General features: G+C 48.7%; 1 annotated feature.

Moving 5' to 3' along the window:
* Positions 3,559-4,060: an enhancer, noted in NCBI's record as "H3K4me1 hESC enhancer chr16:33344915-33345416 (GRCh37/hg19 assembly coordinates)". NCBI's record gives its function as "activates a minimal SCP1, AML or CMV promoter by ChIP-STARR-seq in naive H9 embryonic stem cells {active_cell/tissue: H9 hESC(naive)}" and the evidence as "EXISTENCE:reporter gene assay evidence [ECO:0000049][PMID:30033119]".

Genomic DNA, 21,908 nt, shown 5'->3' on the forward strand with positions numbered 1-21,908 from the left:
TCTTTTCATCTCATCATTTCATCTCATCATCTCATCAACTCATTTCATCTTATCATTTCATCATTTCATCTCATCATTTCATCTGATCTCGTATCTTCTCATCTCATTTCAATTTCATTTCATTATTTCATTTCATTATTTCATGTCATGTCATCTCATCATTTCATCTCATCACATCTCATCATTTCATCATTTTATTTCATTTCATCTTATTTCATCTCATCTCAATTTTATTTCAATTTCATTTTATTTCATTATTTCATATCATTTCATCTCATTATTTCATTATTTCATTTCATTTCATCTCATCAGTTCATCTCATCATTTCATCTCATCATCTCCTCTTATCTATTTCATCTCATCATTCATCTCATCATTTCATATCATCATTTTATCTCACCATTTCATTTCATCTCATCTCATCATTTCATCTCATTTCATCATTACATCTTATTTCATCTCATTTTATGTCATTTCATGTCATCATTTCATCACATCTCGTCTCATCTCATCTTTTCATCTCATCATTTCATCTCATCATTTCAACTCATTGCATCTCATCTCATCATTTCCATTTCATCATTTCATTTATTTCATTTCATTATGTCATTTCATCTCATCACATTTCATCTCACCTCATTTCATCTCATCTCATCATTTCATCTCATCATTTCATCTCATTTCATCTCATTATTTCATCTGATTTCATGTCATCATATCATGTCATCATTTCATCTCATTTCATCACATCTCATCTCATCATTTCATCTCATCATTTAATCTCATTTCATCTCATCATTTCATCTCATCTCATCATTTCATCATTTCATCTCATCATTTCTTATTTCATCTCATTTTATCTCATCATTTCATCTCATCTCATCTCAATTCAATTTCATTATTTCATTTCATCTCATTCATTTCATCTCATTTCATTACATCTCATCATTACATCTCATCTCATCTCATCATTTCATCTCATCATTGCATCTCATCATTCATCTCATCATTTCATCTCATCTCATCATTTCCATTTCATTTCCATTTCATCATTTAATTTCATCATCTCATTTAATTTCACCTCATTTCATTATTTCATTTCATTTTTTCATTTCATTATGTCATTTCATTTCATCTCATTACATTTCATCTAATTTCATCTCATCATTTCATTTCATCTCATCATTTCATCTCATCTTTTCATCTCATCATTTCATCTCATCATCTCATCAACTCATTTCATCTCATCATTTCATCTCATCTCGTATCTTCTCATCTCAATTTCATTTCATTATTTCATTTCATTATTTCATGTCATGTCATCTCATCATTTCATCTCATCACATCTCATCATTTCATCATTTTATTTCATCATTTCATCTTATCATTTCATCTCATCTCATTCCAATTTTATTTCAATTTCATTTTATTTCATTATTTCATATCATTCATCTCATTATTTCATTATTTCATTTCATCTCATCAGTTCATCTCATCATTTCATCTCATCATTTCATCTCATCATCTCCTCTTATCATTTCATCTCATCATTCATCTCATCATTTCATATCATTTCATATCATCACTTTATCTCACCATTTCATTTCATCTCATCTCATCATTTCATCTCATTTCATTCATTACATCTTATTTCACCTCATTTTATGTCATTTCATGTCATCATTTCATCACATCTCGTCTCATCTCATCTTTTCATCTCACCATTTCATCTCATCATTTCAACTCATTGCATCTCATCTCATCATTTCCATTTCATTATTCCATTTCATCATTTCATTTATTTCATTTCATTATGTCATTTCATCTCATCACATTTCATCTCATCTCATTTCATCTCATCATTTCATCTCATCATTTCATCTCATTATTTCATCTGATTTCATGTCATCATTTCATCTCATTTCATCACATCTCATCTCATCATTTAATCTCATTTCATCTCATCATTTCATCTCATCTCATCATTTCATCATTTCATCTCATCATTTCTTCTCATCTCATCATTGCCATTTCATTATTTCATCATTACATTTCATAATTTCCTTTCATTATTTGATTTCATCTCATTTCATTATTTCATCTCATTTTTCATCTCATTTCATCATTTCGTCTTATCATCTCATCTTATTTCATTGTTTCATCTTATCGTTCATCTCATTTCATCTCATCATTTTATCTCATATCATCTCATCTCATCTCAATTTCATTATTTCATATCATTTCATTTCATTATTTCATTTCATCTCATCATTTCTTCTCATCATTTCATCTCGTTTCATCTCATCATTTCATCCATCATCTCATTTCATCTCATCTCATCTCCTTTCAATTTCTTTTCAATTTTGTCATTTTATCTCATCATTTCATCTCATCATTTCTACTCACCATTTCATCTCAAAATTTCATCATTTCATCTCATCTCAAGTAATCTTATCATTTCATCTAAGTGAAATGATGTAATGGAATCATGAAATGAAATGGATAGGATGCCCTCAGTGATGTTAAATTTAAAAATTGTTTGTTTTCATGTATTCATTTTTATATTTATATGTATTTATATTTATATTTACTTATATTTCTTTTTACTTATTTTTATTTATATTTTTACTTATTTATTGGTAGACAAGGTCCTGTTCTGTGGCCTAGGCTGGAATGCAGTGGTGCATTCACAGTTCACTGCAGCCTCAAGCAAACCTCCCACCTTAGCCTCCCAGGTAGCTGGGACCCCAGGTGCGCACCACCACACCTGGTTAATATTTTATTATTTGTAGAGATGGAGTCTTGCTATGCTGCCCAGGCTGGTCTCAAACTCCTGGGCTCAAGCAATCCTCCTGCCTTCGCAACCCAAAATGCTGGGATTACAGATATGAGCCACAGTGCCCATCCTATTTATTTACTTATTTATTTATTTAATAAAGAAAAGGTCTCAATATGTTGCCCAGGCTGGTCAACTCCTGGACTCAAATGATTCTCCAAACTTGGCCTCTCAAAATGTTGGGATTACAGGTATGAGCCACCATGCCTGGCCTAAAAATAGTATTATATTTTTGCATTATATAATTTTCAATTAAGTAATATGAATATTCTGTACAGGAAATATGCCCTTAATTACATAGGAATAAACATTTGTTACACTGAGAAAAATCTAATAGAGCTAAAAATAAAAATTAATTTGGAGAGGTCATTAGATACTCATACATTCTTACGTTTATATATTCTTTCATATATTCATATAGTCTTTTAACAGTATCAATGGTTTGGAGTTATGTGTACAAAACCATGACCTACATGTAATACAACTAATAACAAGCACTTACAATTCAAGGCATATTATATACAAAGCTTTAACTTCTCATCTTCAGATTTTGTTTTTTTTCTTTCTGTTTTGGCAGATACTATGAACACAACATTCAACTCACAGACACTATGGAGCCCTTACTAAGCATAAAGTACTGTGAAAGGCCAGGGCTAGGACAGAACTGAGACAGGGCCAGGGATAGGACAGAACCAGGGCAGGGTCATGGCCAGAGAAAAACCAGGGGCAGGGTCACAGCCAGGGACATAAGAGGACCAAGGCCAGGGCCAGAAGTAGGGCAGAACCAGGGCCAGGGCAGGGACATGGCAGGGCCAGGGCCATGGCAGGATCAGGGCCAGCAGAAGGCCAGGGCAGGGCTAGGGTAGCACAGGGCCAAGGCAGGGCAGGGTCAGTGTAGAGCAAGGAACGGGCCAGGGTATGGCAGGGCAGGGACAGGGAGGTCCAGGGCCAGAGTCAGGTCCAGGACATGGACAGGGCAGGGCCAGAAACATGGCAGGACCAGAAAGGGGAAAGGGCAAGGGCAAGGCCAGAGAAGGACCACAGTAAAAACATGGCCAGGGAGGGTCCAGGGCAAGGGCAAGGCCAGGGCAGAACCAGAGCCAGGGCAGGCCAAAGGCAGGGCCAGGTCAGGGCAAGGCCAGGGTAGGGCAGGGCCAGTGTAGGGTGAGGGTAGGGCCAGGGCAAGTTCAGGGCCAGGGCAGGACTAAGATAGCACAGGGCCAAGGCCAAGGCCCTGTACTAAGATAGCACAGGGCCAGGGCAGGGCCAAAGGAGGGGCCAGGGCCAAGCATGGCCAGTGTGGGGCCTGGGGATTGTCAGGGCCAGGGCCAGGGTCAAGGCTGAGCCAGGAACAGGGCCAGAGCAAGGGCAGGGCCAGGGAGAAGGCAGAACCAGAGAGCATCCAGAGAAAGGGCAGGGCCAGGGCAGAACCAGGACCAGGATAAGGCAAAGCCAAGGCCAGGGCAGGGCAAGGCCAGGGCAGGGCAAGACCAGGGAAGGGCAAGGCCAGGGTAGAAATGGCCAGTGTACGGCCAGGCCAGGGTAGGAAAAGGCCACGGTAGGGCCAAGGCCAAGGCGGGGCACGGCTAGGGTAGCACAGGTCATGGCCAAAAACAGGGCAGGGCCATAGCAGTGGCAGGACTAGCAACAGGGCCAGGGTAAGCGCTGGACCAGAGCATGGTGGGGACAATACAGGGCCAGGACAGATGATGGCAAGGCAGGTCCAGGGTCATTTCATGGACTCGGTAGGCCTGGGGTCAGGCCAGGGCAGGGAAAGAGCAAGGCCAGGGAGAAGGCAGAGGCAGGGCCAGGGCCAAGGCACTGCCAGGGCAGGGCAGGACCAGTGCAGGGTGAGGGAAAGGCCAGGGCATGGAAGGGCAGGGCAGGACCAAGGAAGGGCCAGGAGAATGCCACGGCAGGGTCAAGGCCAGAACAAGGGTACGGGTGGGGTCAGAAATATGGTAGGGCAAGGGCTGGGCCCAGGCTGGGACATGCAGGGCAGAGCATGGCCTGTGCAAGGCAGGGCCAGAGCCAGGCCATAGAGATGGGAGGGCAACACCAAGGCAGAGTCAGGGTAGATCCAGGGCTGAGCAGAGTCAGGGCAGGTCCAGAGTCGAGGCAGAGCTAGGGCCCAAGCAGGGCCATGGCAGCACCAGGGCAGAAAAGGGCAGGGCAATGCAGGACTGGGCCATGGCAGTGCCTGGTCAACTCTGGGGCAGGGCCAGAAGCAGGACAGGGCCAGGGCCAATGCTCAGACCAGGGACAGGGCATGACAGGAAGTGCCAGAGCAGGGCTGGGCCAACGTTGGGACAGGGCAAATCAGACCAGGACACCTCCAAGTCCAGCTCTGGCCCTGCCTTGGCCCTGGCCCCTTCCTGACCTGACCTTGTCCCTGGCCCTGCCCTATCCACGCCCGGTGTGTTTGACCAGTGTTTTATAACCAGAATCCTACAAGAAACTTAAATCAGCTCTTTTTGTGCATTTTTAGTAGAGATGGGGTTTCACAATGTTGCCCAGGCTGGTTCCAAACTCCTGAGCTCAAGCCATTTGCCTGCCTTGGCCTCCCAAAGTGCTGGGATTACAGGAGTAATCTGGCCAAGTATTTAACTTCTTTATGCCTGTTTCCTACATTTGGAAAATGGGGATGCTTTAAGTACCTAGCACATAGAATTATTGTGAGAATCAATGCCTCACATATTTACATATTGATAAAATTGTACTCATAGAACACTACTGGAAGCAAAGATAGTATTAGTTAAAATTTAGTGATTATTTACTGCAAATATTATTACTATTACAAACAACATAGTATGGACATTATTACCACTACCATAGTTATCTTAAAAATCTAAAATAAAAATTTTATGTAATAGCCTAATATAATCTCTCCTGCTCTGCTCCGGCTCAGCCCTAGTGCCGGCTCTGCCCCTAGTCCTACCACATCACTGGCCCTGACCCTTCCCTGGTCCTGCCGCTGCCCCAGCCCTTCCCATCTTCAGGCCTTACCATGGCCCTACCCTGGTCCTGACCCTGGCCCTACCCCAGAGAAGGGGTATGGCAGAGCCAGGGAAGGGCCGGGGCAAATAAGGGACAGGACACATCCAAATCCAGGAAAGGGCCGGGGCCATGACAGAGCCAGGGCGAGTCCTTGGCAGGGCCAAGTTCCAGGCCAGGGCCAGGAAAGGGTCATGGCAGGGTCACTGTACGGCCAAGGTCCAGGCCAAAGCCAAGGCAGGGGCACGGTCAGGCCTGCATAAGGGCAGGACCAGAGCCAGTGATACGGCAGGGCCAGGGCTGTGCCAGGACAGAACAAGAGCAGAGCAGGGCAGGACCAGAGCCAGGCCATAGAGAGAGTAGGGCAAATGCCAAGCCAAGGCCAGGGTAGTGCCAGGGCTGAGGCAAGGTCAGGGAAGGTCCAGGGCTGAGTCAAGGCTGGAACCAAGACAGGGGCAAAGGCCGGGGCAGATCTAGGGCACAAGCAGGGCAGGCTAGGGCAGGCCAATGGCAAGACCAGGCCATGGCAGGGCCAGCCCAGGATAGAACAGGGCACAGGCAGGGCGGGGCCGGGGCCACGGCTGGGGCAGGACAAGGACCAGTACCGGGGTCCAGGCCAGGGCAAAGGTATGGCCAGGGCAGAGGTAGGACCAGAACCAGGGTCTGGGTAGGACCAAGGAGGGTCCATTGCAGGGCCAGGGTTCAGACCAGGGCCAGAACAGGGCTGGGACAGGGCCGGGGCCAGGACCAGGAAAGGGCAATGTCAGGATAAGAGCCATGGCAGGACCAGCAATGGGGCTAGGGCCAGGAGAGGGACAGGGACAGGGTCAAGGCTAGGGCCAGAATAGCATGCCAGGGTAGAGCCGGCCAAATTAGGGCCAGGACAGGGTCAGGACCAGGGCTGGGACAGGTTATGGCCTTAAGTAGCAAAGGGCCAGGGCCAGGGTCCATGCCAGTGACAGCGCTGGTCCAGGGCAGAGGCAGGGCCATGGCCAGGTCAAGGACAAGGCTGGGGCAGGGCCAAGGTCTGGGTCAGGGTCAGCACAAGACCAGGACAGAGCCAGGAGAGGGACAGGGCCATGGTAGGGCCAGGTTAAATCAGGGACAAGACACCTGCAAATCCAATTCAGGGCCAGGGTCAGGGCAGGGCCAGTTCAGGGCCAGGGCCAAGACAGGGCCAGGGCCAGGGCTGTCAGGGTCATTGGCAGGGCAAGGGCCATGGCAGGATCAGGGTCAGGAGCAGGGGTCAATGCCAGGCCAATGCCACAGATAGGACCAGGTATGTGCTAGGGCCAAGGCGGGGTCAGGGCAGGGCCAAAGGGAGGGCAGGGCCAGGGCAGGGTGGAGTAGGTCCAGGGTAGCACAGGGTTAAGGTAGGGCACGACCAACCAGGGCAGGTCTATGGCTGGGGCCGGGGCAGGGCCAGGGCCGGGGCAGGGCCAGAGCCAGGGCAGGGCCAAGACAGTGGCAGCTCCAGGGCAGGGCCAGGGTTAGGACCACGGACATGTCCAAGGCCAGTGCCAGGGCAAAGACAAGGGCAGGGGCAGGGCCAGGGTCACCTAAGAACCAGGGACAAAGCCAGGCCCAGAGCAGGGCCAGGACAGGTACCTGGCAGGGCTAGGGTCTGGGGCAGGGCCATGGCAGGGCCAGGGCCACAGCCAGGTCTGTGCTATGGCCAGGTACAACACAGTGCCCAGGTAAGGCTAGGATGAAGGCCAAGGTAGGGCCAGGGCAGGGTCAAAGCCAGGCTAGGGCCAAGGCAGGACCAGGGCCGTCAAGGAAGGGCCAGGAAAGCATAGGGCCAAGGCAGGGCAGGGCCAGGCCAGTGCCAAGACCTGGGCAGGGCCAGGGAACAGCCAGGGGAGGGCCAGGGCCAGGGCCTGGGCAAGACCAGGTTTGGGGCAGGAGCAAAACAAGGGCAAGGACAGTGCAGGATCTTGGCACAGCCAGGGTCCAGGATAGTGTCAGGGCAGGGCCAAGGCAGGGTCTGGGCCATGGTAAGACCAGCAACAGGGATGGGGCTAGGCCAGTGACAGGACCAGAGTCAGGGCAAGGGCCAGAGCAGTGCAAGGCCAGGGTAGGGCCAGGCATTTCAGGGTCAGGGCCAGAGGAGAACCAGGGCAAGGTCTCAAGCAGGGAAAGGCCAGGGCCAGGACAGGTCCAGGGCAGGGCCATGACAGGGCCAGGGGCTGTGTTAGGGCAAGGGCAGGGCCAGAGCAAGGTAAGGGTCAGGGCCAAGGCCAGGGTAGGGACAGGGCAAGAAATATGGCAGGACCAGGGGCAATGCCAAGGCCAAGGCTGGGCCAGGGCTGAGTCAGGGCAGGGCAGGGCAGGGCATGGTATGGCCAGTAGAGGACAGGACAAGAGCCGGTCCACAGAGAGAGCAGGACTGATGCCAAGAGAGAGCCAGGCTAGTGCCAAGGCTGAGGCAGTGTCAGAACATGTCCAGGGCAGGGCCGGGGCCAGGGCCAGAACTGAGCCAGGGCACAGCCAAGGCAGGGTAGGGCAGGGAAATAGCATGGCCGGGTCAGTACTGGGACAGGGCAGAGCAGGGCAAGGCAATGGTAGGGGCAGGGCAGGGACAGGCCAATGCAGAGCCATGTTACGCCGGGGCCAGGACACCTCCAAGTCCACTTCAGGGCCAGGGCTATGGCAGGACAAAGACCAGGGCCAGGGTCAGGGCCAGGTCTGTGCTAGGGCCAGCTCCAGAGCAGGGCCTAGCGAAGACTAGGGTGAGGGCCAAGGTAAGGCCAGGGCAGGGTCAAAGGCAGAGTAGGGCCAGGGCAGGGTGAGGACACATCCAGAGCACAGCAGGGCAGGGTGATGGCCAGAGCAGGGGTAGACCACTGCCAGCTCAGGGCCAGGGAAAGGCCAGTGCAGAGCCAGGAAAGGGTCAGGGCCAGGACAAGGCAGAGCAGGGCCAGGGCCATGACAGAGTCAGGGCAGGTCCTTGACAGGACCAGGTTCCAGGCCAGGGCCAGGGCAGCAGCAGGGGCAGGGCCTGGATAAGGGCAGGGCCAGGGATATGGCAGGACCAGGGCTAGGGCCAGGGCCAGGCCGTAGTGAGGGCAGGGCAAAAGTCAAGGCAGGGTCTGGGCAGGTCCAGGGAGTGGCCAGCACCAAGCGGGGCCGAGGTACAACCAGTGCAGTGTAAAGCAGGGCAATGGCACCACTGGGCCATGACAGGGCAAGGTCAGTGCCAGGAGAGGGCAGAAAAGGCAGGCCCATGGTAGGGCCAGGGCAGGGATGGGCCAAAGCAAGACCAGGACATGTCCAAGGCCAGGTCAGGGCCAGAACAGGAGTAGGACCATGACCACTGGCAGGGCCAGTGCCATGACATGACCAGGGTCAGGACAAGGGGTAGGGCCAGAGCCAGGGCCAGAGCCAAGGTCAGGCCAGTGCAGGTTCAGGGCAGGGCCAGTGCCAGTTCAGGGCAGGGCCAGTGCCAGGGCAAGACCAGGACAGGGACAGAGTAGCACAGGGCCAAGACAGGGTCAGGATGGGACCAGAGCAGGACAGGGCCGAGACAGTCCAGGTAACAGTAGGGCGGGTACAGGGCAATGCAGGGCAAAGCCAGGCCCATTGCCAATGCACCAGCCTTCCCTACAAGGCTCCTACCACCTGGCCACTGCTGCAGCCCGTCCATCGCTGTAAGCCTGACCCCCAACCCTGGCTGCAGCCGCCTGCCCTCCTAGCGCGGCCGCTCTCCTACCGCTCTGGCGCACTGCAGTCTCTGTCGCTGCCACCCACCCGCAGTGAGGCAAGTCGTGGTGTCGCAGGCTCTAGGTGTCTCCTCCTCCTCCTGGCATGGAGCAGCTGGGTGGGCAAAGCCAGAAAAGCCTAGAGGAAGATGTGAGGGGTGGAAGGGTTAGAGCCTCAACTTGTCATGCTGGCCACTGGGTGGCAGGGGCCAGTTTCAGCAAAGGCACTCACACCCACCCTCCAAAGTCCAGCCTCTCCTTTTGGCCCAAGCTGGCCGGGAACTGGGGTCTGGGGTGGGTGCTGGAGACACCACAGCACCCAGCTCCCCACTCCACAGGAACCATTGGGCCCACCGGGGCTGCACTCCTCGGGGAGCAGGAGAAGCAGAAAAATTCAGACCCAGCCAGCCCTCCGCACCCAGGTGCCAATTCCTGTTCCAGACGCCTCCGCACCCAGGGCCCTGTCCCCCGTGGTGTCCCCAGGGGTGCCTGGCAGCCTCTGAGGCACAGACCCAGAGTGCACAGGCCCAGGAACCATGGTGGGTGTGGGGGTTCTGCCGTGCTCAGGATTCCCACGCAAACGCTGCGTGCCTGCCGCATTCCAGTATGACCAAGAGTGGGTCGCCCTCTGGAATGTGGAGTCAGGGAGAGGAGAACCACTCCTTCCTTGGATGCCAACTCTGCTGACCACTGCCAGCAGTGCAGCCCCTGATAGCACCGAACTCGCCCCCGCTCCATGGATAGTCCTGCCCTCAATAGCGCCCCCCACCTCCATCCCCCAATGCCGCCAGTAGCATATACCTGATAGTGCCCTAACCTGTCCTCCTCCATGGGCACTGCAGCCCCAGAAAGTGCCCATAACCCACCCTCCCTGCCACGGGAAGTGCAGCCCTGTACAGTGCTACCAACCAGTGCCCCTAATGCAGGCAATGACACCCTGGATAGCACCCCCAACCCACCCCACACTGTGAAAGGTGCAGCCCTGGATAGCCCCTGTCCTACCACTCTGGTCGTGCTGCAGTCTCTGTCACCGCCACCATCAACCACAGTGAGGCAAGCCAGTGGGCCACAGGCTCTAGCACTCAGCAGACAGACATGGAGCAGCTCTCGCCGATGACCAGCTCCACCACTCTGACCACACTGCTGTCTCCGTGGCCATCTTCTTTGACTACAAAGGAATAAAACTAGATATCAATAAGAAGAGTAATTTTGGAAACAATACAATCACATGGAAGTTAAACACTACCCACCTGAATAAATGACTAGCGGGTCAATGAAGATAATAAGACAGAAATTCAAAAATTTCATGAAACAAAGGGTAACGAAAACACAGTATACCAAAACTTGTTATGCAGAAAGCAGTACAAAGGCAGAGATTTACAGCTATAAGTGCCTACCATCCAAACAAAAGAAAAACTTCAAATAAACAATACATCTTAAATAACTAGTAAAGTAAGAACAAACTAAACCAAAAATAAGAAAAATAAATAAGATCGTAGCAGAAATAAAATTGAAAGAAAAAAACACACAAGATGAAATGAAAAGTTGGTTTTCTGGAAAGCAAAACAAAATTGACAAACTTTTAACCAGGCTAACTAAGAAAAAAGAGACAAGATTCAAATAAATAAAATCAACAGATTAAAAAAGGGAGACATTACAACTAATACTTCAGAAATTCAAAGGATCATAACTGGCTATTATATGCCAATAAATTGGAAAGCCTAGTAGAAATTGGCAAATTCCTAGATGCATACAACCTACTTAGGTTGAACAATGAAAACATCCAAGACCAGAACAGATTGGTAACAAGTAATGAGATTGAAGCCATCAGAAAAAGTCTCCCAGTAAAGAAAAGCCCAGGAACTGATGTCTTCACTGCTGATGGCTTCACACCAAACAATTTAATGACCTAGTACAAATCCTACTCAAACTATTTTGAAAAACAGGAGGGAATACTTCCAAACTTATTCTATGAGACCATTATTACTGTGATACCAAAATCAGACGAAGGCATCAAAGAAGGAAACTACAGGCCAGTATCTCTAATATTGATGCAAAAATCCTCAACGAAATACCAGTGAATCAAATTCAGTAAAACATTAAAAAGATAATTCATCATGATCAAGTGGGATGTATCCCTGGGATGCAAGAGTCACTCAACATACAATGTGATACATCATATCAACCAAATAAACGACAAAAACAGTATGATCATGTCAACTGAAACTGAAAAAGCATTTGATGAAATTCAACATCCCTTCATGCTATTAATCCTCAAATAAACGGGTACAGAAGAAACATACCACAACATAATAAAAACTACAGGAAAGACACCCACAGCTAGAATCATATGGAGAGAGGTCCAGGCTGCAGTGAGCTGTGATCCCACCACTGCACTCCAGCCTGGGCAACAGAGTGAAAGCCTGTCTCAAAAAAAAAATACATAAAAAGAGGTATGAACCTCTTTTATAGGTGCAGTGACTCACATCTGTAATGCTAACACTTTCTGGGAGGCTGAGGTGAGAGGATCTCTTGAGGCCAGGAGTTCAAGATCAGCCTGGGCAAAATAGCGAGACCCTTTATCTACAAAAAATTTTTAAATATTTGCCAGGTGTGGTGGCACGTGCCTGTAGTCTTAAACAATTATCATATGACCCGGATAGTGTATTCCTTAGGGATATACCCAAGGGAAATGAAAATATACATCCACACTAAAATTTGTACACAAATGTTCACAGCAGCATTGTGCATAATAGCCAAAAATTGGAAAAAAAACTCAAGTGCCTATCAACAGAGGAACTGAAAAAATATGGTATATCCATTCAAAAGATTACTCAGCATTAAAAAAGAATGAAGTGTTGATATACGCTACAGCATGGATAAACCTTGAAAACACTGTGTCAAGTGAAATAAGTCAATCACAAAAGACCATATGTAGTAAGATTTCATTCTGTGAAACCTCCAGAACAGCTAAACTCAGAGACAGAAAGTAAGCTAGTTATTGCCAGGGACTAGGGGAAAAGGGAATAAGGATGACTGCTAATGGGTATGGGATTTCTTGTGGACTGATGAAAATGGTCTGAAAGTATCTAGATACCTGTCTTGTTTGTGCGATTCTGTGAACATATTATAAACCACAAAATTCTGCACTCAAGGGGTTGATTTCATGGTAGGTGAATTTATCTCATTTATCTTTATCTCAATAAAGCTTTTTAAAGACACTTTAAAAAGACATATCTGTATAAGCTACAAAAATAACACACTGAGAGACTAAAATGCTTAATTTTTCCATTTTTCTTCTTCAGCGCAATCTCAAGTCCAAAAGTCTTTCCTTCCTATATATGCATATTTTGTCCAGTGAAACAAGAAACTCTATTAACTTTATTAGAAATAAAAAAAAGCCATGTGTTCTGGCTCACAGCTGTGCTTCCAGCTATTCAGAAGGCTGAGGAAGAAGGATCACTTGAGGCCAAGACTGGGAGTTCAAGACCAGCTGAGGCAACATAGCTAGATCCTGCCTTTAAAAATATTTTTTAGGCCAGGCACGGGGGCTCACGCCTGTAATCCCAGCACTTTGGGAGGCCAAGGAGGGCAGATCATTTGAGATCAGGAGTTCAAAACCAGCCTGGACAACATGGTGAAACCCCATCTCTTCTAAAAATATAAAAATTAGCCAGGTGTAGTGGTGGGCACCTGTAATTCCAGCTACTTGGGAGGCTGAGGCAGGAGAATTGCTTGAGCCGGGAGGGTGGAGGCTGCAGTGAGGCCAAGATCATTCCACTACACTCCAGCCTGGGTGACAGAGCAAGACTCCGTCTCAGGAAAAAAAAAAAAAAAAATATATATATATATATATATATACACACACACACATATACACATATATGCGTATATATATATATATATACGTATATATGTGTATATGTATATATATATTTTTTAGGTTAAAACTCTACTGAAATGAAACTAATAAAATAAAATTCAACTTAATTAAAAAATAGTTCCTGAAATATTAATTTTCAAACAATTCTATTTTAGCTTTGACTCTGAACAAAATATAAACGTCAATTTCAAAATATCACAAAGATTGGCTGGGGGCAGTGGCTCATGCTTGTAATTCCAGCACTTTGGGAGGACGAGGCATGAGCCTCACTAGAGGCCAGGAGTTCCAGAGCAGCCTGGCCAACATAGGGAAACCCAGTCTCTACTAAAAAAATACAACAAAAATTACCCGGGTCTAGTAACCCCAGCTACTCAGGAGGCCGAGGCATTAGAATCACTGGAATCTGGGAGGTGGAGGTTGCAGTGAGTGGAGATCATGCCACAGCACTCCAACCTGGGCGACAGACTGAGAGTCCGTCTCAAAAAAATAAAAATAAGGCCAGGTGCTGTGGCTCACACCTGTAATCCCAGCACTTCGGGAGGCCAAGGTGGGCAGATCACTTGAGGTCAAGGAGTTTGGGACCAGCCTGGGCAACACAGTGAAACCTCCTCTCTACTAAAAATACATAAATTAGCTGGGCATGGTGGCACACACTTGTAATGCCAGCTACACCAGAGGCTGAGGCAGGGGAATCGTATGAATTCGGGAGGTGGAGGTTGTAGTGACCTGAGATTGTGCTACTGCACTCCAGCCTGGACGACAGAGTGAGACTCCATCTCAAAAAAAAAGAAAAAAAAAAGAAAATTTAAATTTAAAATTTAAAAAAGTCACAAAGACTACAAATACTCAGGTTTAAGCAAATTCCCACCTTTCTCGAATTAACAGTAATTCATATTTGCTTTGTCAAAAATGTAGATATTTACCTGCCTCAACGGAATGAAATCCTAAAAGCCTAGTGTTCTCAAATGATGAAGACAAAGAAACATGCATATTTTAATTTAGAATTTTGATTCAGAATTAATTTTAACCTAGCTGGAGTATACATAATCATTTATGTATTTATTTACTTATTTAAGAGACTGGGTTTCGCTGTGTTATCCAGGATGGAATGCAGTGGCACAACCTTGGCTCACTGCAACTTGTGCTTCCTGAGCTCAAGCGATCCTCCCACCTCAGTCTCCAGAGTAGCTGGGACTGCAAGTGCACGTTACCACACCCAGCTAATTTTTGCGGAGACGAGCCTCGCTATGTTTCCCACACTGGTCTCTAAGTCCTTGGCTCACTACAGCCTCAAGCCCCTGGGCTCAAGCAATCTGCCTCCCAAAGTGCTGAGATTACAGGAGTGAGCCACCACAACCGGCCTACTCGATAGTGTATACTAAGCAACATATACCCTGCTTTTGCCTAGAACATACTGAAAACATGGCATTAAAAACAATCACAAAAGTTGGGAGCTGAGAAAAATATACTGTAAAACAAATCTGACAGATATTAATCTCAAGAAGCTCCTGAAAATGTCTCAAGAACTCCTATGCTGCACTCTCCCTAATAATTTAGACTTTCTACAGATATTTTCTGATCATCTACCGTGTGCCAGGCACCATGCCAGGTACCAAGATGCCATGGTGAGGTATACACAAAACCGGCTCCTGCTTGCGGGAAGCCTACTCTCTCAAACAGTGCTTGCCAAGCTCGACTGATCACAACTTGGGAGCTTGTTTAAGTTCCAAATCGGCTTCCCTGCTTAGGTGAGCCACAATCCGTGGCATTTTTATCAGGTGCTCCCAATGATTCCTACGCTCTAACGGGTTTGGGAGGAAAGGGTGGGGGTAAGCTCGAGAGCCCAGACCCATCCCGTCCAGCGGGGGTCCCACCTCTAAAGTCCATGTCGCTCAGCATCCTTCCCCCTGACTAGTGGCCCAAACACAGCAGGAAGCTGAGGTGGGTGGAACGCTTTCCAAAACAGCGCTCTGTGATGAGCCACCGACAGACTTGCTCGCCTCCGGGAACGAAGAGCTCACTCCTCACAAACCCCACCAGGGAAAGGTAGCACCTGAGCCTCCCGGGCTGTGCGGACATCTGTCTCCCCGCGGGTGCCGCCTACTGCTCCGGTGGACTCCAGTCCCCAGGTTCCGCCCCACGGGGACTGGGGGGAGGGGGGAGGCGCCGCGCGCATTAGGCGCTGACAGTATACCGACCCCCCCTCCGGTGTGCGCAGGCCAACACCCATACACACCCTCACACACCCGCACACACTCCCGTGGAAACTGAGGCAGGCAGGCGGCGGACCAGGTCCCGCCGCCTGACGGCTAGCGGCTGGGATGGAACCCGGACTGCCAGACGCCTTCCGCCTCACAGGCACTCCTCAGCCGCTGAGGCCCGGCCAGGCTCCCACCGCCGGAGTTTCACAAAGAAAGTCTCCCGGCCCGAGCCCCTCACGCACTCACCGGCGCCGACGCCCGCGGCGACTGGGGCTCCCACCTCCTTCAGCTCCTTGCGGGGGTCGGCCCTGGGGTCGGCTTGGGCGCCGGCAGCGGCGACTGCTCCACATCCACCGGGTCCGGGCCGCGTCCGCCTCGAGCTAACGGTCCCGCCAGCTAGGCGCGCTCGCCAGTTCCGGGCGCCATGTTCCCGCTGTGCTGCTCGCCGCCGAGGCGACCCTCACTGCCCCCCAGCCACGCGCGCCCCCGCGGGCCCACACACGAACCCCGCACGCGCGCGTTCGCCGCGCCCCCTCCCTCCCCGCGCGCCCCGCCTCGCGCCCTCTGGAGCTGGCCGCTGTTCCCAGTGTCTCGCCCACCCCCGCCGGGCCCGTCCGACTCCGCGGGTGAGCGCGTGGTTCCCGGCTCGGCACCGCCGCCTGCCTCTCTGCAGACCACCCCGGACCCGACCCCTCGGCCACTTCCCCACACTGCCCCTTTCGCTTCCCCCACCACGCGGGGCCTAGGACGAGGGTCTGGGCCAAGAGGAGCTTCCCTGCAAGAAGTGCCCAGCTAAGGACGCTACTAAGGGGGCGGGATCGCCACCGTGGAGGTGTGCAAGCAGGTGCCTGCGTCCCGGAGACAGCCAGACTCAACGGAGAAGCTGAGTTGAAGTCCCACATCTCCACTAACCCTTGCGTGTTAGGGTCAGGGCTTCGGGACTTGTTTCTCCTAAATCTTTTTTTTTTTTTTTTTTTTTTTTTTTGAGACAGTCTCGCTCTGTCACCCAGGCTGGAGTGCTGTGGCGCGATCTCGGCTCACTGCAAGCTCCACCTCCCGGGTTCACGCCATTCTCCTGCCTCAGCCTCCGGAGCAGCTGAGACTACAGGCGCCCGCCACCACCTGCTGATTTTTGTATTTTTAGTAGAGGTGGGGTTTCACCGTGTTAGCCAGGATGGTCTCCATCTCCTGACCTTGTGATCCTCCCGCCTTGGCCTCGCAAAGTGCTGAGATTACAGGCGTGAGCCAGCGCGCTCGGCCTGTTTCTCCGAAATCTGAAGACTCAATATCATAATCAAGAGAACGCCTCAGCACCGCGCCTAGCACTTAGTAGGTAGTGATCAAGAGAGAAGACCTCTTAAGTGGTTTTAATGGTTAAGGACCACAGGTTCTCAAGAAAGGGAAATCTCAATTCAAGTCCCGCCTCCATCTCTTGGAAACTGAGAAACCTTGAACAAGTCACTCAGAGGAGCCAAAGATCCTTGATTTCTACATGTGCAAAAGGGGAGTGTGGCAGTAGCACTGCACAGGGTTGACTGAGCTTTCAGGGAGATGATGACTGTACGATCATGCCTCTCTTAATCACGGGATGGTTCTGAGAAATGCCTCCTTAGGTGATTGCAGCATTGTGCAAACAGCAAAGTGCATTAACACAAACCTTGTATAGCCTTGTATAGCCTACTAAACACCTAGGCTGTATGGCCTATTGCTCCTAGGCTACACACCTGTACAGCCTGATACTTTACTGAATGTACCATAAGCAGTTGTAACGCAATGTAAGTACTTGTGTACCTGAACATAGAGAAGGTACAGTAAGAATAGAGCATAAGAGAATTTAAAATGGTACTCCTGTATAGGGCACTTACCACGAAAGGAGCTTACAGGACTGGAAGATGCTGTGGATGAGTCAATGATTGTGAAGGCATAGGACCTTACTGTACACTACTGTAGACTTCATAAACACCATATGCTTAGGCTACACCAAATTTTTTTAAAGCTTTTCTTCAATAAATTAACCTTAGCTTACTGAAATGTATCTTAAAAATTTTGCCAGTCGTGGTGTCTCACGCCTGTAATCCCAGCACTTTGGGAGGCCGAGGCAGGCAGATCATTTGAGGTCAGGAGTTCAAGACCATCCTGGCCAACGTGGTGAAACCCTCATCTCTACTAAAAATACAAAACTTAGCCAGGCATGTTGGTGTGCACCTGTAATCCCAGCTGCTCAGGAGACTGACGCAGGAGAATCGCTTGAACCTAGGAGGCGGAGGTTGCAGTGAGCCGAGATTGTGCCACTGCACTCCCGCCTGGGCAATTACACGCATGGAGATGTCATCTCCTGTGATAAGAATGCCTTCTTCTTCCAGAATACTTCCTGAAGGACCTACCTGAGGCTGTTTTATAGTTAACTATTTTTTAATGTAAGTAGAAGACATACATTCTAAAATTATGAAAAACACTAAATACACCAGGGCTGGGCACAGTGTCTCATGTGGGTAATCCCAGCACTTCAGGTGGCTGAGGCGGGCAGATCATTTGAGGTCAGGAGTTTGAGACCAGCCTGGGCGGTGTGGTGAAACCCCATCTCTGCTAAAAATACAAAGATTAGCTGGCCGTGGTGGTGGGTGCCTGTATTCCCTGCTACTCAGGAGGCTGAGGCAGAAGAATCGCTTCAACCTGTGAGGCAGAAGTTGCAGTGAGCCAAGATCGCGCCACTGCACTCCAGCCTGTGCGACAGAGCAAGACTCTGTCTCAAAAAAATAAAATAAACCAGTAACATAGTTGTTCATTATCAAGTATTATATATTGTATGTAATTGTACATGCTATGCTTTTATAGAACTGGCAGCACAGATTTGTTTACACCAGCATCACCAGAAACACAGAAATGCATTACCCTAACATTACAATGGCTATGTCACTAAGCAATAGGAATTTTTCAGCTCCATAATCGTCTTATGGTACCAGTGACTTACATGTGGTTTGTCATTGACTAAAATGTCATTATACAACACATGACTGCATATCCCAGGGCCCAATGCCTGGCACACACAAAGCTGAGTTTCACTGGTGTAATTCCCACCCTATCCATCCAAGAATCCTAAAAGTTTAATGAAAGGGGCTCTGCTCCCAAAACCCTGTGGTATAAGTAGCTGGGAGGAGTTCGCCCGACTTGGGGTTTCAAGGACTCTTTCTTCCCACCTGTTTGCTTTCCTTTCTCTCCCCAAAACTTCTCTGAAAACCCTAAAGTTGGCAGAAAAATGGAGAATGTTTTCCCTACTAACAAAAAGAATCTTCAAGAGTCTCTTGGGATTTGTAAATGGTTGCATTTACTAGTCTGGTTTTCTTTTTGTTTTGCTTTTTTGTTTTTGTTTTTGTTTTTTTTTTGAGATGGAGTCTTGCTCTGTCACCTAGGCTGGAGTGCAGTGGCACGATCTCGGCTCACTGCAACCTCCGCCTCCCAGATGCAAGCAATTCTCTTGCCTCAGCCTCCTGAGTAGCTGGGATTAAAGGCACGCACCACCACGCCTGGCTAATTTTTTTGTATTTTTATTAGAGACAGGATTTCACCATGTTGGTCAGGCTGATCTCAAACTCCTGACCTCATGATCCACCTGCCTTGACCTCCCAAAGTACTGGGATTACAGGCATGAGCCACTGCACCCAGCCTTCTAGTTTGGTATTTTTCTTATTCAAGTAACAAGGAAAAAAAAAATAACTCCACCAAGAGTAAAACAGAAAAAAGGAACAAAACTGATAGCATGACTGAAAAGGCCTGGGGTGGTACCTCACTTCAGGCATAGCTGGATACAGGCACTTATACAAGATAAGTCTCTCTAATGTCTCGGTGCTTGCTTCCCTTTGATTACTTCATTCTCATGCAATTCTTTCCACATAGTGGCCTGAGCAGCTCCTAACTCACATCTGCGCAAGAAAGCAGAGGCTGTTCCCCAATAGTTCCAGCCAAAGTCCCAGGACTGACTTTCACTGGACCCGTTTGGGCCACATGCCCCTGCCTGAGCCAACCACCACATCCAGCCTGGCCAGACCTGGCTTTCAGGAAGCCCCTTCAGGAAGCAGTTGGGGTCATCCCCTCCAGAAGGACATGGGGAAAACCAGAAAGTGGGAGGAGGGATGCTTCCTTCTGAAAAATAGGGATGCAATTACCACAGGAGGTGTCAGATACAGGGCTGGCACAAACAAGAGCTATCCATGGCACCATCATGTAGGCATGCAGCAGGTCCACCATGAAGCAACCTGGCTGCTCCGCAAAATGGAATCACAGTTAATTCAGCCAATGAGAAATATCCCTCTATTTGGGTTCCCACCATTCACCCCAGGCCTGGCACGTCCCAAATTTCCTTGGTCAAAGGCAAGCAAATTACCCGCCTTTTATGCTGCACAAAAAGCTGAAAAGATTATCTTACTTCTCTGGCTCAAGAACTTTCTATGACTCCCTCTGGCTACTTATGTGGCTCCCCCACCCTTAATGATAGAAGCCAACATTCATGAATCCCCTACCACATGCCAGGTACCTTATGGACCTGCCTCCTCCAAACAGCATAGAAGAGGTTGGTACTCTTACTGCACCCATTTTATAAATATGGAAACAAAGGCTCAGCAATTTGAGGTAATTTACCCAGAGCCAAAGTTAGGAAGTGCAGAGTTCAGATTAGCACAATATTGTTCCCGCCCTTACCATCCCAGCTCCATTTGTTCATGTTTCAAAGTCCTACACCCACCTCTAGCTAGGGGCCAGTGGGATCCGCTCCATGGCAGAAGAAGCCTCTAGGAACCCCTTCAGCTTCTGCAGTGGTGGGGCTGGGGAGTAGGTGCAAAAGATACTTAGCTTTACCATCCTCTCCCACAAAATTTTTTTTTTTTTGAGATGGAGTCTCACTCTGTCACACAAGCTGGAGTGCAGTGATGCGATCTCAGCTCACTGCAACCTCTGCCTCCTAGGTTCAAGCAATTCTCATGCCACAGCCTCTGGAGTAGCTGGGATTACAGGTGCCTACCACCACACCTGGCTAATTTTCGTATTTTTAGTAAAGATGGGGTTTCACTATGTTGTCCAGGCTAGTCTCAAACTCCAGACCTCAAGTGATCCACCTGCCTCAGCCTCCCAAAGTGCTGGGATTGCTAAGCCACCATGCCTGGCCCCATCTCCCATAACTTAATGGGGTAGGGAAAAGAATTCCTCCAAGATAAAATTAAAGTGACGTTAGGAAAGGAAGTAGATGTTTGGTAACCTTCAATCAGCAGCTGATTTCTCCCATTGGTGAGTCAATTAGTTTTCTATGGCTGCTGTAACAAATTACCATGAACTGATTGGCTTACAACAACACAGACTTAATATCTTATTGTTCTATAGTTCAGAAGCCTCAAATCAGTTTCACTTGGCTAAAGTCAAGTTGTAAAGGACTGATTCCTTCAGGAGGTTCTGAAGGGAAAACCCGTTTTCTTGCCTTTTTCTGCTTTTAGTGGTTACCTATATACCCTGGATTGTGGCCCTTTCTTCCATTTTTAAAGCATATCACTCCAATCTCTGCACAGTGCTATGGTTTGAATGTGTCCCCCAAAGTTCATGTGTTGGAAATTTAATCCCCAATGCAACAGTGTTGAGAGGTGGGACCTTTAAGAGGAGATTAGGTCATGAAAGATCTGCCCTCATTAATAGAGTAATGATGTTATCTCAGCAGAGGGTTAATTATCATGGGGATGGGTTCCTAATAAAAGGATTGAGTTCAGCCCCCTTTCTCTCTTGATGTGATACCTTCCATCATGGGATGACACAGCAAGAAGACCCTCACCAGAAGCAGGCCCCTTGATCTTGACCTTCCCAGCCTCCAGAACTCTAAGAAATAAACCTGTTCTTTATAAATTACCCAGCCTCAGATATTGCATAGCAATACAAAAAAGACTAAGACACTCAGTCATCATCGCATTGCCATCTCCCCTGACTGCTGAGTCCCTCTTAAAAGAACACTGTAGGCTGGATGTGGTGGCTCACGCCTGTAATCCCAGCACTTTGGGAGGCCAAGGTGGGCAGATCACGAGGTCAGGAGTTCGAGACTAGCCTGGCCAACATGGTGAAACCCCATCTCTACCGGAAAAACAAAATTAGCTGGACATGTTGGCGAGCACCTGTAATCCAGCTGCTCGGAAGGCTGAGGCAAGAGAATCACTTGAAGCTTGGGAGATGGAGTTGCAGTGATCCGAGATTGCATCATTGCACTCCAGCCTGGGCACCAAGAGCAAAACTCTGTCTCAAAAAAAAAAAAAAAAAAAAAAAAA

Source organism: Homo sapiens, chromosome 16, assembly GCF_000001405.40.
Source record: "Homo sapiens chromosome 16, GRCh38.p14 Primary Assembly".
Lineage (NCBI taxonomy): Eukaryota > Metazoa > Chordata > Mammalia > Primates > Hominidae > Homo > Homo sapiens.